The following is a 17,351-nucleotide window of genomic DNA, read 5'->3' as shown; positions in this document are numbered from 1 at the left end:
CGCCTATAGTCCCAGCTACTCAGGAGGCCGAGGTGGGAGAATGGCATGAAGCCGGGAGGCAGAGCTTGCAGTGAGCCGAGATCACACCACTGCACTCTAGCCTGGGAGACAGAGCGAGATTCTGTCCCCAAAACAAAAACAAAAAACAAAAAACAAAGTAACATTCTTTACTTACCACAGGTCAGAAACCCTGTACAGGGACTGTGTACACAAAATATGAGGCCAGTTTTTCCAAGGGCTTTCTTGGCTCCATACGTCAAGTTTGATTCCTTAAAGGGAAGCACATCATTCCAGTCAAAGCCTTGGTAAAATAACCAGTTTGTCCAATTGTGTCGTGTTACAAATGAAAACAGATTCTGATGGCACTTATGCAAATAACTGTATTTCCATAAGTTAAGAAGACTTACAGATAGTTTGCAATTTTGGGAGAAATCAGGTAAAGAGAAACAAATATGCTCCAAATTTTGTTCATGGGAGTGTCCTAAACTGTTAACAGCTGTCAATAGCTCTAAAGAAAAGTTTTAAGACTCTGAAAACCAAAAAAAAAGATTCACAACATTTTAAGCAAAAAGTCAAAAAGATTAGTTCAGTCCATGCAGTTAATTCCTGTTCTGCTTGATACTCATCAACAACATAAAATACTCATTTTAGCTCTCAATGAGTCCTGAAAGTTTTTCCTCTATTCTGATGTCACACTCTCCAAAGTTATCAGAAACCTGCATTCAAGAGCACCTGCTAGAGTTTTAAATCTGATTATAAAACCACCTTCTGAAGACAAAAGCAAGACAATTGTCGGTGGATGGCAAAACATTTTAGAGCAGCCATAGTCAAAAACACAACTGACAAGGAAATTTGTTACCTCTGTGGCATGCAATAATTTTATCATAACAATTATGATTATTGATAATATACACTGTTATATCAGAACTATAGGAGTTTCCTGTAATTTTGGAACACATAATAACATATTTATACAAATATAGGCCAAACAAAAACCAACACCATTTCATATCTGACAATGCTTCCTGTATAATTTTTGTACCAAATAAGCCAAATTATGTTATTTTTTGGACATTAGGAAACCTAGTATCTTAAAGAATTAATTAGGTCAGAAAAAGACAAAATTTATCATTTGATTTTGGAAAGTTTACCAAATATCAAAGGTTTTAAAGACAATATCACAAAACAGGATCACAGGTCATTATAAAATAAGTCATTCATTTAACGAAAGTGACAAGTCACGGATTTCAGAAAAAGACAAGAACCTTTATTCTTTGAAAGAAGACCTAATTCTCCAAACAATAAGCCTTAAGAAGAACAGCATGAAGCCAATTAAATTTGTTTGTCAAAGTTGTATAAACAATCTATACAATTTTCTTTTTTTTTTTTTCTGAGACTGAGTTTCACTCTTGTTGCCCAGGCTGGTGTGCAATGGCATGATCTTGACTCACTGCAACCTCTGCCTGCCAGGTTCAAGCACTTCTCCTGCCTCAGCCTTCCCGAGTAGCTGGGATTACAGGCATGCACCACCAAACCTGTCTAATATTTTTGTATTTTTCCGAGAGAAGAGGTTTATCCATGTTGGTCAGGCTGGTCTTGAACTCCTGACCTCAGGCAATCACAGCCTGCTTTGGCCTCCCAAAGTGATGGGATTACAGGCATAAGCCACCACGCCCAGCCACAACCTATAAAATTTTAACTTTAACCATAAGATATAGCTTCCATAAATCTTTTTATAACCTGAAAAACCTTTATTAAGGGGTTGGTTAATGCTTCAAGAAAATTTTGTTAATCTCACACAGGGGCCCATATACTCATCTTGCATCAGTGTGCATGTGACATTAATGATTAGTTCATAGAGGAATTGAACTTATTTTATCTTTCAAAATTGGCCCTTACAATCTTATGCCTACCTCTTCCACAACTGTCCCTGGGCCTTGAGGAGTTAAAGTTTTTATTTATTCCCCTTTGTCTCACAAATGCAGTTTATTTTGATTGGAATCTCCTACTGGGCTTGAAGATGAGACTTTAATCGCTCTCAGTGTTTAAGATTTAGCAGGACTTGGTGTTCTTTTTATATCCAGGAGTCAAAGCCCTGTAACTCAATGTCACAAGAACTTTAAAAACACATACAGGAAGATACGTGGATGCACATGTAATAACGCTAATTAAAAAAAAAAATTAGTCTCACTTTTTTTCCTTAAGCAAACCAAAACTTAATATTTCGATTTTCTAGTTCGTCCTGAACACTCCTCCTTCTTAAACAACCAGTCATTTTATTTTAGGACTAAAATTTACCACATAAGGTTCTTTCTCACATAAAAGTATTTCTCTTTAAGCTTTCATACCACATGCAAAAAAACCTCTTTATTTTTACAACTTTCTTTACATCTCTTTTTATTTCCTTGTTCCTTTTACCATATTTATACATAACCTTTAAATGAGCTTTGAATTAGGCAAAAATTTTTTACCTTTTTTTGTTTAAAAAGAATACACTTCTTTGTTTTAGCAAGAATGTTTTCCTATTATATATTATTTATTGGAAAGTACCCAAATAATGAAGTATTTACTATTTAATTTTATATTCAAAATTATGACCAGTTTGTCTACAAATATTTATTGCATTACATTTACGTAATGATTTTAATTGTTTACTTAGATTATTTATGACAACTGTGATAGTCATGAATTTAAAGCTATGAAAACTACCGTTGCAAAATTACAACTGAGACACTGAAAAAAGATTTGACCTAATTGACTCCACCTTGCTCTTTATCTCCAAGCTGTCCTTGTTCATTCCTGGGAATAAGCCAAACTAACTTTTGGAGGAACTTAGTTTATAGTTTATTTTTGAAACAAAGACAGTAACAGTCCTTTCCCAAACCTCCTTACTGCCTGTGGACTTGACTGCCTAAATCCACAGGATTAGATGTTAAGGTAATCTTACTAAATTCAAGATGCAGCTATTTTCATTAAACCCATATCAATGTCTTTCTTTCCCTCCCCCCTCGCCCCCCAAGATGGAGTCTCGCTCTGTCACTCGCCCAGGCTGGAGTGCAGTGGCACCGTCTCGGCTCAGTGCAACCTCTGCCTCCAGGGTTCAAGCCATTCCCCTGCCTCAGCCTCCCAAGTATCTGGGACCACAGGCATATGCCACCATGCCCGTCTAATTTTTTGTATTTTTAGTAGAGATGGGGTTTCACCGTGTTAGCCAGATGGTCTCGATCTCCTGACCTCGTGATCCGCCCGCCTCCGCCTCCCAAAGTGTTGGGATTACAGGCGTGAGCCACCACACCTGGCCCCTCAGTGTCTAATATATTAAAAATTATAGGTTGGGGCCAGTGGCTCATGCTGGTAATCCCAGCACTTTGGGAGGCCAAGGTGGATAGATCATGAGGTCAGGAGTTTGAGACCAGCCTGGCCAATATGGTGAAACGCTGTCTCTACTAAAAATAAAAAAACCACCTGGTCGTGATGGTGCGTGCCTGTAGTCCCAGCTACTCAGGAGGCTGAGGCAAAAGAATTGCTTGAACAGGGGAGGCAGAGGTTGCAGTAAGCTGAGATCCCACCACTGCACTCCAGCCTGGGTGACAGAGACTCTGCCTCAAAAAAAAAAAAAAAAAAAAAAAAGAAAGAAAGAAAGAAAAAAGTACACAAGCAAAAATCCTTCTGGGATTTTTTTTGGCTGCGTTTAGTTTTGTAACTCCTATGACAAATTTTGATACCTTATAATATTTGCCAGGGATAAGTATGATATTGCTTGATTAATAAATGCAAAACAAAAAATGTATGCTGGCAATTCTTAAGACATTCCTAATATTACTTTAACAATAATTTTAAAGGTAGCTTATTAAGGATTTTACTTAAGTTTCATAAATCTGAAAAAGCATTTGACCAGTCTTTTTTTGATACAGTATCTGATTTATGTGCTTTTATTTTTCTTTAAGCCAATTAGAGCTTTTATCTAATTTTCGTAGTGAAACATTGTGTACACAACACAAATACATAAATGTATTAGGCATGGCCATGGAAGACATTTTATAGATTCATAAAGACATCCCCCTTTTGTATGAGCGCAGCAGCCCACGCCTGTAATCCCAGCACTTTGGGAGGCCAAGGCAGGCAGCTCACGAGGTCAGAAGATTGAGACCGTACTGGCTAACACGGTGAAACCCCGTCTCTAGTAAAAATAGAAAAAATTAGACAGGCATGGTGGTGGGTACCTGTAGTCCCAGCTACTCGGGAGGGTGACGCAGGAGAATGACATGAACCTGGGAGCTGGAGCATGCAGTGAGCGGAGATCACTGCACACTCCAGCCTCGGCAACAAAGCGAGACTCTGTCTCAAAAAAAAAAAAAAGACATCCCCTCCTTTTTGTTATCTTTGACTTTCAGATTCTTAATAACCAGTTTTACAACCATAGGCAGTTGTCAGCTAAATAGCCTTAAATTTGCATATTAAAGGAAACAACTCAGGTGAAAATCAAATAGCAAAATTTACATCAAAAAGTATAGAGAGAAAAAGTCTGGTGGTGCTACAGGGAGACACAGTGCACTTAAAAAAATTTTTTAAAGACCTTTCTGAGTGTCTAAACTACATTGTTCTTAAAAACCCAAGAGTAGCCTCTGTTGCAATAACTATTTTTTGTCAAAAAAACAAAAACAAAAACAAAAAAAAACCCAGGTGGAAACAGAATCAGTTAACTGAAAATGAAAAAAAAGACATTTGCTCAAAAAAACACAAGGTCTTAGGAAAGAAAAACAAAAACAAAAACATGAAGGCCTTTTAAATAAAAACATGCACACATACATGCATACACACACACATCCTGGATGTCGGCCTTTTAATGAAGCTGACTTTTAACCACTGAACTTCTTTAAAAAAAAATTTTTTTAATCTTGTTACCATATGTCAGCTAGGACAAAATGCTGCTAAACTAGTAAGAATCACACAAATTATAAAATTTCTGAGTGCTCTAAGTGTAAGCAGAAATTAACACCAGCTGGTTGTTAATGGTAACATTAGTCATTTAAAAAGAATTTGAAAGACAGAGTTCCAAACCAGTTTCTTACTAGTGATGGGTCTCAGGCTGTAGACTGGTCTCTACCATCCTAGAAGCAAGAAAAAAAAACCTCATCTTCCTTGTTGGAAGCAAGCTCAAACTCCATAAAGGAGTTATTTGCCTTCGATCATCACGGAAGCAGGAAAAGACTTGCCTTCCTTGTGTTGGAAGTAAGTAAAACTCCAAAATAAAAGAGGAGTTGTACAGCAAAATAAATTACAGATCTTGACCAAATTTGGGGAGATCAGGGCTTCTCAGGAGGGGGTGCTCTCAGACCTCAGCAAATTGTCCTATTGGTTTGAGCCATAAAGTTAACTCATCCTGGTACCAAGCACTGACAGGAGACCTGTAAAAGGTCAGGGGCATCTCCATTCACAATCCCTCAATGGTTACCAAAATGTGGACCCTGAAAATTTGAGACAGGTCTCAGTTAATTTAGAAAGTTTATTTTGGTTGAGAACACATGCCTCTAACACAGCCCCAGGATGTCCTAATGACATGTGCCCATGGTGGTCAAAGCATGGCTTGATTTTACACATTTTAGGGAGACATGAGACATAAATCAACATACATTAAGGTTTGGCCTGAAAAGGAAGGACAAATTGAAGCAAAGGCAAGAAGACTTGAAGAGGGGAGGGGGCTTCCAGGCCACAAATAGGTTGGAGATGAACAGGTGCATTCTTTTGAGTTTCTGACCAGCCTTTCCAAAGAAGGCAATCAGATATGTATCTATCTCAGTTAGCAAAGAGGTGACTGTGAATAGAATGGGAGGCAGGCTGGCTCTAAACAGTTCCCGATTTGACTTTTCCCATTAGTTTAGTGATTTGGGGGCCCCAAGATTTATTTGCCTTTCACATGTTTCCTTAAGCCAAACCAAGGCATAAGTGACTACTCCTCTACCCTCCTCCCACAGGTAAATTGTGTATTCACTGAAAGGCTAATCAGAGACTCAAAAGAATGTAACTGTTTGTCTCTTATCTACCTATGACCTGAAAGCCCCTTCCCTGTTTCAAGTTGTCTTGCCTTTCTGGAACGAACCAATGTACATCTGAGACATACTGATTGATGTCTCAAGTCTCCGTAAAATGTGTAACACCAATCTTTTCCCAAAACACCTTTACACATGTTGTCAGGACTTCCTGAGATTGTGTCATGGATGTGTCTTGAACCTTGGCAAAGCAAACTTTCCAAATTGGCTGAGATGTGTCTCACATATTTTGGGTTCACATAATCAACAGTAAAAAATGGAAAGTTTGGGGACGATAAATTCAAATCCAAACATACATAAAGCTCAAGAAGTTTAATACAGCTGTATTCTTCCTCTTATACCAGTAAGGATATAAGCTGACCTTAATTATTACTGTAGTCCTAGTTTCTACACTACTTGCTGAACAGATCTGTGAAGAATCTTGTGCTAACATTAAGAACCTGCACAGATTATACTCTAAAGTATTTCTCTCTTCCTTTCTGAATAGGGAATTTAGCACATTCAACTAAGAAAAAAGCAAAATGAGAAACAAGAAGTAAACATTACTATTTCAACAGCTGTATAAATACTGTAAACTTCACACATGCACGTGCGTGCACACACACTCACACAGACATACACATCCACAAAAGTTAACAAAGTTTGAAAAACTTTTGTAGATATTAAATCTGTTTTAAAAACTGAATTAAACTTAAAGTGTTTAAATTAACATAATACAGTGTCACGTAAAACCAAACTTTTAATTTATGGAATGATATCAGTAAATGATAGGGAGACATATGCCCCAATTTTGCATCTTTTAGCAACATTATGTTAACCAAACATTTTAAAAGAATAAACTCAACAAGTAAAATGTCCTTCACATGTTAAGACGCAAATGAAATGAGAATCTTATTCAATCTAAAGTTTTAACATCTCTGTGGCTAATCAAGACATTTCTCAAAGAACAGACCATTTTTATAATTTCTAAAACAAAATTACAATCAAAAAATTTTAATCAAACCTCAGGCAACTCTGTTACATAAAGAAAATCAAGTTTCTTTGTTTAAGAAGAAAAAGCATGTAAAATCAGTACATTAAATTATAATACACTTTGTCAATAACAGGCATAACAGGAGTTGGAATACCCACTAGTTGAGCCTATGTGTATGGAAATAAGAGTTTCAGATGCTGAATACTAAATGCTTACCCAGTACTAGCATAATTAACATTCAAATGACAACTGTTGCTATATAAAAACTATTAATTAAAAAAATAATTTTCTTGTTCATTTAAAAGGTTTATTCATGCTCAGAAACAATAACCAAGTAATTCTTTGTTGTTCAGCAGTTCTTTTAAATAGAACTTTTTCTAGGTCTCAGACCAATCAAATGAGAATGGGGGAGGGAGAAGTATGAAGGACATGATAACACTCTTTCAAATGACTCTATTGTGTAGCTGGGGTTCAGAAAAAGCCCTGCATTAACCTGTACCCAAATATTAATGCCAGACATGCAAAAACAATTTTAAATAGTAGTTTTCAAGAACACAGTACTTAAGAGAACCAAAGAGAAGATAAAAATCTATTTCTCAATTACTGAAATAGAGAATATAAGAGCCAAAATGTAATTAAGGCTACCAAAAAATGGTTAACTATCATTACAGATGCATAATAATGTGAATATACTTAATACCACTGAACTGTACACTTACAGAGAGCTAAGATGGTATAGTCTATGTTATGTGTATTTAACTACAATTGGGAAAAAAAATTAAAGAAGAGTTGCTCCTATTTAGAATAAAAATTAATTTGCCCATTGCTGACAAACGGGCAGACTTACAGATCAACAGCACAGAACTAGAAGAACAGAAGTAAGGTGTTACATTTATACAAAATGATTTTCGACAAAGGTACTAATACCTTTCAATGAAGAAAGCAAAGTCATTTCAACAAATGATATTAAGACAATTATCTATATGCAAGAGAATGAATCTGAATGTGTACCTCACACGACATACAAATATTAACCCACAACATTGTATGTCAAATGTAAGTACTATAAATATAAAATCCTTAGAGAAAAAAATGAGTAAATCTTTGTGACCTTGTACACCAAAAATAAAATTCTAAGCCCTTCAACCATCTGAATGGATGTCTCCTCTTAGCAAGGACATTCCAGGGTTACCCTGAGTGACTGGTTCAAGCCATGGTGCAGGGCAAAGGAAAGACATGCCTCATTACAGGCTCCTCCCTTTCAGAATTATTAATAAAACCGTCTTTAAGTCTGATGAGAAACATTTGCAATCTATTCTCTCTGAAGCCTACTACCTGGAGGCTTCATCAGCAAGACAAAACTTTTGAAAGGAGTTAGCCAGCTTGCATTAGGCAGACACTAAAGAAAGGGTCCCACTGAATCTCCAGCCCATGTTTCGTGCAGATTAAGGGAATTTGCTCAAGGGCTTGCCTGAGCATGCCTACAGCAGACTAAGGGCCCATATGGGCACTGGGGGAAGGAGGTAGAGCCACCAGGAATGGCACCTTAAAACAAATAGGGAAACCAGGACTATCAGCTTATATGTCTGTATGTAAAATCCCTTGTATTAAACTGTAAAGGGTGAAATCAGGAACCTGCTTTCAGGACCCTTCTCTTTGCTGAAAGCTTTCCTTTTGCTTAATAAATTCTACTCCACTCACTCTGTGAGTGTCCACATGCCTAATTTTTCCTGGTCATGAGACAAGAAACCAAACCTAGCTTAGCTAAGGAGAGAAAACTCCTGCATCACTTTGGTCTCCACAACTCCTCAGCATCATAACCCAGACATTCCTTTCTACTGATTCTAGGTCCTTAGATAATAACTTAATTCTGTCAACCAACTGCCAATCAGAAAATGTTTAAATCTACCAACAACCTGTAAGCCCTGGCTTCAAGCCATCCAGGCTTTCTGGACCAAAGCAACCTACATCTTACAAACGTGTTTGATTGATATCTCATGTCTCCCTAAAATGTATAAAACTAATCTGCGCCGGCCGGGCATGGTGGCTTACATCTGTAATCCCAGCATTTTGGGAGGCCGAGACAGGCAGATCACTTGAGGTTGGGAGTTCGAGACCAGCTTGACCAACATGGAGAAACCCCATCTCTACTAAAAATACAAAATTAGCCAGGCATGGTGGCACATGCCTATAATCCCTGATACTCAGGAGGCCGAGGCAGGAGAATTGCTTGAACCTGGGAGGCAGAGGTTGCGGTGAGCTGAGATCACGCCATTGCACTCCAACCTGGGTTACAAGAGTGAAACCCTGTCTCAAAAACAAAAACAAAACAAAACAAAAACTAATCTGTGCCCTGATCATCTTGGGCACATGTTCTCAGAATCTCCTGAGGGCTGTGTCACAGGCCATTTGTCACTCACAGTTGGTTGAGAATAAGTCTCTTCAAATATTTTAAAGAGTTTGACTTTTTTCGTTGACAATAATTTGGTGCCCAACATGGGGCATCAGAGAACACTCTGGACCACAAAGGAGTTGCCCAAACTTAGAGCTAAAGGCACCAGCAGCGGCTCATTGAAAACATCTCCAATTTCTTTTTTCTTTTTTTTATTTGAGACAGAGTCTTGCATTGTCACCCAGGTGCAATCTCCGCTCATGGCAACCTCTGCCTCCCAGGTTCAAGCTACTCTCCTGCCTCAGCGTCCCACGTAGCTGGTATTACAGGCACCTGCCTCCTTGTCCGGGTAATTTTTTGTTATTTTAGTAGAGACGGCATTTCACTATGTTGGCCAGGCTGGTCTTGAACTCCCGACCTCCCTCCTGATCTGCCCACCTCAGCCTCCCAAAGTGCTGGGATTACAGGCGTGAGCCCCCGTGCCCAGCCTGAAAGCCTCTCCAATTTTAAGCTTCTCCTCTGGTGGAACTGGTATGTGCTCCTGAGCCCACCAGCCTCCCTTTGATTGACAGTCCTTGATGTATTCTGTTTTTGTGTTTATTTGTTTCTTCCTAGGAAACTGTTGTGTAGGATCCTCATTCTAGTTTGGAGGTGTAATCTAAAGGGTCTTTTCCATTTCCTTTTTCTAAAGACAGGGAGAACAATTTGGGCTCCTCAACTGGTTTCTAGTTCAGAAATACATTCTAAAGGGTCTTCTCCATTGCTTTTTCTCCCAAAATTAATCTCAGGTGGTTTGAATGAGCATTTGTATGAGAAACTGAAGTGTCATTTTCATAGATAAATGAGAGACTGAGTTTCCTCAGCTCTAAAGGAAAACAGCATTTTGTTCCTCCCAACTCAAAGGTGCCCTTGAGTGACTGCGGATCAAGTGGGAATGTCTGGGGTACTGACCTCCCGTGACATGCAGTGGCCTTACAGGGCACCCCCAACAAAAATTACTTTTTTAAAAATATAGGCTTTGGCTGGGCATGGTGGCTAATGCTTGTAATCCCAGTACTTTGGGAGGCTGAGGCGGGCGGACTACCTAAGGACAGGAGTTTGAGACTAGCCTGGCCAACATGGTGAAACCCCATCTCTACTAAAAATACAAAAAAATTGGGTGGATGTGGTGATGCATGCCTGTAATCCCAGCTACTCAGGAGGCTGAGGCGGGAGAATTACTTGAACCTGGGAGGCGGAGATTGCAGTGAGCCGAGATGGTGCCAACTGCACTACAGCCAGAGCAACAAGAGTGAAACTCTGTCTCAAATAAATAAATAAATAAATAAATAAATAAATAAAAATATAGGCTTTTTTGTTTGAACCCGGGAGGTGAAGGATGCAGTGAGCAGAGATCACACCACTGCATTCCAGCCTGGGCAACAGAGCGAGATTCTGTCTCAAAAAAAAAAAAAAAAAAAAAAAAAAATATATATATATATATATATATACACACACACACACATATATATATATACATATATATATATATATATATACACACATATATATATATATAGCTTTTGCAAGAAATGCATATAAAGGCTGATCAGCCAGTGTTCTCAGCACTCAGAGGTACTAGACTTCCAGAGAGGGAAACAGAGACACAGAATGAGACACTTAAGAGGGCGGAAATAATTCAGTGGTGACATGCTGTGGAGTCCTGCTCATAACCAGCACACTCCAATCCATTACACTAAACCCTAGGCCACAGCTCAGTTGGTCCTTTTAAGTGGAAACATATAATCTAAGAATGGGAAACAACCTAAATGTGGGAAACATCTAAGAATGACGAAAAAACCATGGAGCCTCTATTTGAACATTTTAACTGAGGGACAAATTACATTAAGAAAAAATTCTCTATTTCTCTATTTTCTTTTCCACCTGCTTTAAATCTGCTGTTACTTTTCTAAGTAAAAGTTACAGGATATTTGTTTGATTGAGTGTGTAGTTGTGTGTTTATGTGTACATACATGTAGTTTGTTCAGTGTTTTGGTCACAAAGTACCAAATCAGCTTAAAGTTAAATAGTAAGCCTAAATGCTTTTCAAGTTCATGTGACTGAAGTAAAAATCTTAATAAATACGTTAGCTTTAAAAGTACAAGTAAAATAGTATTAGAAATATCTTAAGAACTGTCAGCACATGTTTTGTTTACATTTATTGATTAAGAGGTTTCATACTTATTCTTGCCAAATCTTGTAAGGTGTTAAAATTTGTCAGAAGGGTCATAAAACTATAAACCCAGCCCAAAACAGAATGAACTTTGTATAATTTTTGACAAATAAGATATTTAAGATTTTTGGTTTAATGAAAACAAGTAAATCATGTGTTGTTCATATATTTAAACTTAAGTTTCTTACTTAGATATGCACCTGAAATTCATAGGCCATAAAAATATTAACAGGGAAATAACCTTAAATAATGACTATCCTTATTAAATAATCAGGTAAATATAATGGAATAAATGCTTGTAAACAAATTTGTCATATAATTAGAATGTATGGTTATATTAAATAATACATATTAAATTTCTGGGTAATTTCCAATTTAAAAATTGTAAGAAGATGTCTTTAAAAATTGTTTTCGGCCAGGCGCAGTGGCTCACGCCTGTAATCCCAGCACTTTGGAAGGCCAAGGCGGGTGGATCACGAGGTCAGGAGATCGAAACCATCCTGGTTAACACGGTGAAACCCCGTCTCTACTAAAAATACAAAAATTAGCCAGGCATGGTGGCAGGCGCCTGTAGTCCCAGCTACTCAGGAGGCTGAGGCAGGAGAATCGCCTGAACCCAGCAGGCAGAGGTTGCAGTGAACCAAGATCATGCCACTGCACTCCATCCTGGGCGACCCAGGGAGACTCAATCTCAAAAAAAAAAAATTGTTTTCTTATTTAATGGTAAATATTTTTGTCTAATGCAAATCTTATTTAGTGGGTATACAAAAAAGGAACCAGGAAATAAGACAGATGTAAAGAAAGTTACAGAAATAGTTTTGTGTTTTTTAAAGAGAGGTTAAAAGAAAAGTAATGAAATATAAAAAAGAATCTTGTGTGGTAAATTTTTTGTCCTAAAATAAGGTAACTGGTTGTTCAAGAAACAGAGATATTTAGAACAAACCAGAAAGTCCAAGCATGTAATGAATGATTGATATAATTTGTAAAAAGGTTAGTAAAAAAATTTTTTTAAGTTACATAATAAAGTTGGCTGTATTTAAAAAAACTGTAACATTCTCTCTAGAAATTGAACTTATTAGAAATACACTAATGAAAAACTAAAGAACTGGTAAGAACAAGGTTTTATTTAAAATGTTGACTTCTCTTAATACAAGAAGGTGTTAAGTTTTAAATTCTATAATCTGTTTCTTTTGAAATTCCTAGATTGATATCTCAGAATTTCAGATCTTTCTTTTGAAAAGGCCTGAGACAATCTCAGTGCGGTGGCTCACGCCTGTAATTCCAACACTTTGGGAGGCCGAAGCAGGCAGATTACTTCAGGTCAGGAGTTCAAGACCAGACTGGCCAACATGGTGAAACCCTGTCTCTACTGAAAACACAAAAATTAGCTGAGCAAAGTGGCACATGCCTGTAATCCCAGGTACTTGGGAGGCTGAGGCAGGAGAATCACTTGAACCCGGGAGGCAGAGGTTGCAGTAAATCAAGATCGCACCATTGCATTCCAGACTGGGCAACAAGAATGAAACTCTATCTCAAAAAAAAAAAAAAAAAAGTCCTGGGATGGTAACTCTCCTTCACCTTTTGTTGGCTCCCGTAACCTTTTAAATTTATATTCTAAAGTAAGAGACAGAAGTTTTGAAAACAGGCAAATAAATCTTTTGGACCTGCCTTTTGTCTGTATGTGCATTATGTCTGTTATGTCTATATGTTTATGTGTCATGTGGAAGTGATTTTTCACTACCAAACTAAATAAAAGAGCTCTAGTCAACTGGCTTAAAGAAAAGTGCTTAGTCAGGCATGGTGGCAAATGCCTGTAATCTCAGCACTCTGTGAGGCCAAGGCAGGCGATCACAAGGTCAGGAGTTTCAAACCAGCCTGATCAACATGGTGAAACCCCATTTCTACTAAAAATACAAAAATTAGGCCAGGCGTGGTGGCTCATGCCTGTAATCCCAGCACTTTGGGAGGCCGAGGCAGGCAGATCATGAGGTCAGGAGATCAAGACCATCCTGGCTAACACGCTGAAACCCCATCTCCAGTAAAAATACAAAAAAATTAGCCAGCAATGGTGGCGGGTGCCTGTACTCGGGAGGCTGAGGCAGGAGAATGGTGTGAACCTAGGAGGCGGAGCCTGCAGTGAGCTGAGATCGCACAACTGCTCTCCGGCCTGGGCCACAGAGTGAGACACTGTCTCAAAAAAAAAAAAAAAAAATTAGCTGGGTGTGGTGGTGCAGGCCTGTTATCCCAGCTACTCAGGAGGCTGAGGCAAGAGAACCACTTGAACCCAGAAGGCAGAGGCTGCAGTGAACAGAGATCATGCCACTGCACTCTAGCCTGGGCGGCAGAGTACAACTGTGTCTCAAAAAAAAAAAAAAAAAAAAAAGAAAAGAAGAATAAGAAGAATGCTTATCAGACTAAAAGAAGCTAGCTGAAATGCCTTTTAATTCACATCATCTTGGTTATCTTTGACAAATTTAATCTGAAAATCCTCTTCACTAGTTTAAAATTTTAAAAGCGATGTTATGTTAAATTACATAGGTTTTCTCACTAGGAATTTGGGTTTCTAAGAGTTAAAATAGTAGGAAAAAATGTACTATTTTACCAAAAACATCATAAATACAGGGGAAGGGCAAAATCAACTACCAAATCCAAAGGGTGGAATATAAAGAAATTATTCTAATTTGCAGTTTGATATTATCAGCTTCATGAAAAATTTTTAGTATAATAGATTGTAAAAATAATTTTAAAGACAGAATCCTTAATTGTAAATGGGTTGATGCTGGACACAAAGCTCATTATTAAACAATCACTGATGAGTATATGCAATCCAAAGGCACAGAAGACTTTTTCTAAAATAACAACCAGCTTACTGGACTTGATAAATGGCCACTGTAAGGTCCGTTGACCCTGAGAAAGGGACTGTCCAATTCTCTCCAATAAAATGCCAAGTGGAGCACCCAGATGAAGCAGTTGATGTGCTTCACATGGAAGCCTATGGGTTTGGCCTTATGATGACCAGATATTTTCCCACTGAATATGCCTATTACCTAGGTCATACTAAATGCTGGGGTTAAGAAGGCCCCTTTTACATGGGCACCTCATGTGGCATTCCTCTTGCAGAATCATACAACTATTTCAGAAGCCTTATTAAATTTGTTGCCTCTCCTGAGTCCTAAAGATGCTTACTAAAACATTAGGATAATTAACAACAAAATGGAAAAGGGAAAGAAAATCAAAGGACTTGCCCCAGAAGGGTTACATAAATCTTTAAATGGTTATTAATAAATAAAATGAAAATTGATAGGGTCAAAAACAAAGGAATTTACATACTATCAAAGGTTGCGTGGACCAAAGGGAACCCCTGCTAGTCCCCCAACATTAAAAAACACCAAAAGGTAGTTTTCTACTATTTGCACCATATTAGGGAAAGTTAAGAAAAATCAAAAGGTAAAGCATAATGAAAAAGGTGGCACTGCCTGGAGCAATGCTTAAGTCAATTAAGATAAAGATTGGGCCGGGCACGGCGGCTCACGCCTGTAATCCCAGCACTTTGGGAGGCCGAGGCGGGTGGATCACGAGGTCAGGAGATCGAGACCATCCTGGCTAACACGGTGAAACCTCGTCTCTACTAAAAATACAAAAAAATTAGCCGGGCGTGGTGGCGGGCGCCTGTTGTCCCAGCTACTTGGGAGGCTGAGGCCGGAGAATGGCGTGAACCCAGGAGGCAGAGCTTGCAGTGAGCCAAGATCCTGCCACTCTGGGCAGCAGAGTGAGACTGCGTCTCAAAAATAAAAAAAAGATAAAGATAAAGATTGACAAAACAGCCTGTGTCCCTTGGCTGGATCCCCTACTGGAAACCCAAATTCTTTTTTACCAGAAAAGGTAAAATGGTCTGGGAGTAGAAAAGAAAGATTCCTCAGACCAGAACATAAAAAATGTAAAGATTATGAAACCTGAGTGTTTAAACAGGCTTTCTATAAAGTAGCTGTGACTCCTTTACCTAAACGTGTTATGAAAATGGGTACCAATGTACCTGACGCAAGGATGTTTCCCCTAACTAGTGTCTTCAGCTTTACTGAAGGCAGGTATTCAACCTGAGCAAATTAAAGGAAAAACAACAACAACGGAAGGCACGTAAATCTGCCCTTTGAGAAATGTTAATTAAAGTGGACATGCTAAATAGGAACCAGTAAGACTGCCTGAGCCCACAGAATGTAAGGTAGAAGCTGCAGTGATAGAACAAATCCTCCACTTCACAGCCTTTGCAGAGCATTTACTGGGGCTTCTACCATAAGCCTGTGACTACTTCCCAATGAGAATACCTGAAGTAGAACATTTCCACTTGAGGAGCAGTAACTGCCTTGCTATGGGTTGTTAACTGAAGCTTCCCCCATGCTAATGGAAATAATGTTGCCCAAAAGTTTCATGATAAATTAATAATGCTTTACATAGAATATTGCTACCTGGAAAATACAAGGAGGAGATACTCATGAGCAGGGAGCCTCCTTCTTCCTTAGGACTTACTCTAATCATGTGAAGAGCTCCCAGATTGTACAATGCCTGACAGCTCTCATCTGACAAGAGCTGCTTAGCATGTGAGTAGCAGTTCCAAGGTACACAAATACAATCTTGTTTTGTAAGGCTGCTGCTCTGGTTAAAGAAGAGTCAAGGAAGTATGCTTTTTTAGATTATTTACGGTTTAAAACATTTGGGTAAAGTATGTTCTTATAAGGAAATTTCCCTTTCACTTCGAGTTCTCCAGAATTCAGAAACTGATTTTATGGTAATGCAGTTATTTGCCTAAGTTTATTAAGAGTCTTTTCTCTTAAAATGAGACAGCTTGAATCACTAGTTACTTCACCAAGACTTTGACTAGACTAACATATTTTTAGGTAAAGTTCCAGCAAAGCCAACTTAAAAGGAGCCTATATGGGCAATCAATGCTTGCTGCACATTATGCAAACAATCAGGCCAAGTACAATAAGCCTAACACTTATTTTGCACATGAATTGGTCTTACTGTAATTCCTCTATAATGGAAAAGGAGTGCTGGAGAGAGAAACTGTTTCAAAGGAAAAGTTTAGCATGTTACTAGATTTCAGCCCTGACTTCTGTTTTTAATTGCAGAATAGAGCATGAGTTATTTCTTGGGTACAATAATCCTCTAAAGATTACCAGATTATAATTTGTTTTCATATTGTTAGTTGGTGCCCTAATGGAATAGGTTCTTTTTTCGTTCTGACATGCAAATACTCTTTTGATTGTCAAAATACTAACGTTATGTATCTCTCCTTATTTTACTTCCAAAGAAACCAGATTCATGGTCTCCTGAAGACTAGAGATGCCAATTTCCCTCATTTGGCATCTACTGGGCCTAGACTGTTTTTCTCTGCAAATGTCCTGCTGCTAGGACTATCCAAGCACCCTCTTTCTAGGCCCAGCGACTGCCAAAGCGGTGGGCACATGAGATTCTAAGGACTGGTTTTAAGGGGCAGAATTAGGTCATACCCGCCAAAGTAACCAGAGGTAAACAAATGCCTCCACAGCTAGTAAACAAGGGACTTTGCCCTCTAAGCTATCATGTGGCGCCTTTTCACGCATTCTAACCATAAAGTATTTTCTGCTTTTCATAAAACTAAAAGAAAACAATTACTGAGAGGGTAAAGATACCTCATGACAAAGCCTCCCAGCTATAAGTTGTACATCTAGATAATACATTTTTAAA

The 17,351-nt window shown here is 38.3% G+C and overlaps 1 long non-coding RNA gene across 5 annotated transcripts in view; it reads right to left on the bottom strand.

Annotated features, from left to right (window-relative positions):
• TTTY15 (testis expressed transcript, Y-linked 15) overlaps positions 1 to 17,351 on the bottom strand; it is a 29,882-nt gene that overhangs the window by 5,452 nt on the left and 7,079 nt on the right. For all 5 annotated transcript variants that reach the window (NR_001545.3, NR_174087.1, NR_174088.1 and 2 more), the window contains one exon: positions 176 to 269. This is a non-coding gene — a long non-coding RNA (testis expressed transcript, Y-linked 15). The remainder of the gene's footprint in view (positions 1 to 175; positions 270 to 17,351) is intronic.

Source organism: Homo sapiens, chromosome Y, assembly GCF_000001405.40.
Source record: "Homo sapiens chromosome Y, GRCh38.p14 Primary Assembly".
NCBI lineage: Eukaryota > Metazoa > Chordata > Mammalia > Primates > Hominidae > Homo > Homo sapiens.
The sequence above is the reverse complement of the archived record's forward strand: the minus strand, read 5'-3'. Positions and strand labels throughout refer to the sequence as shown.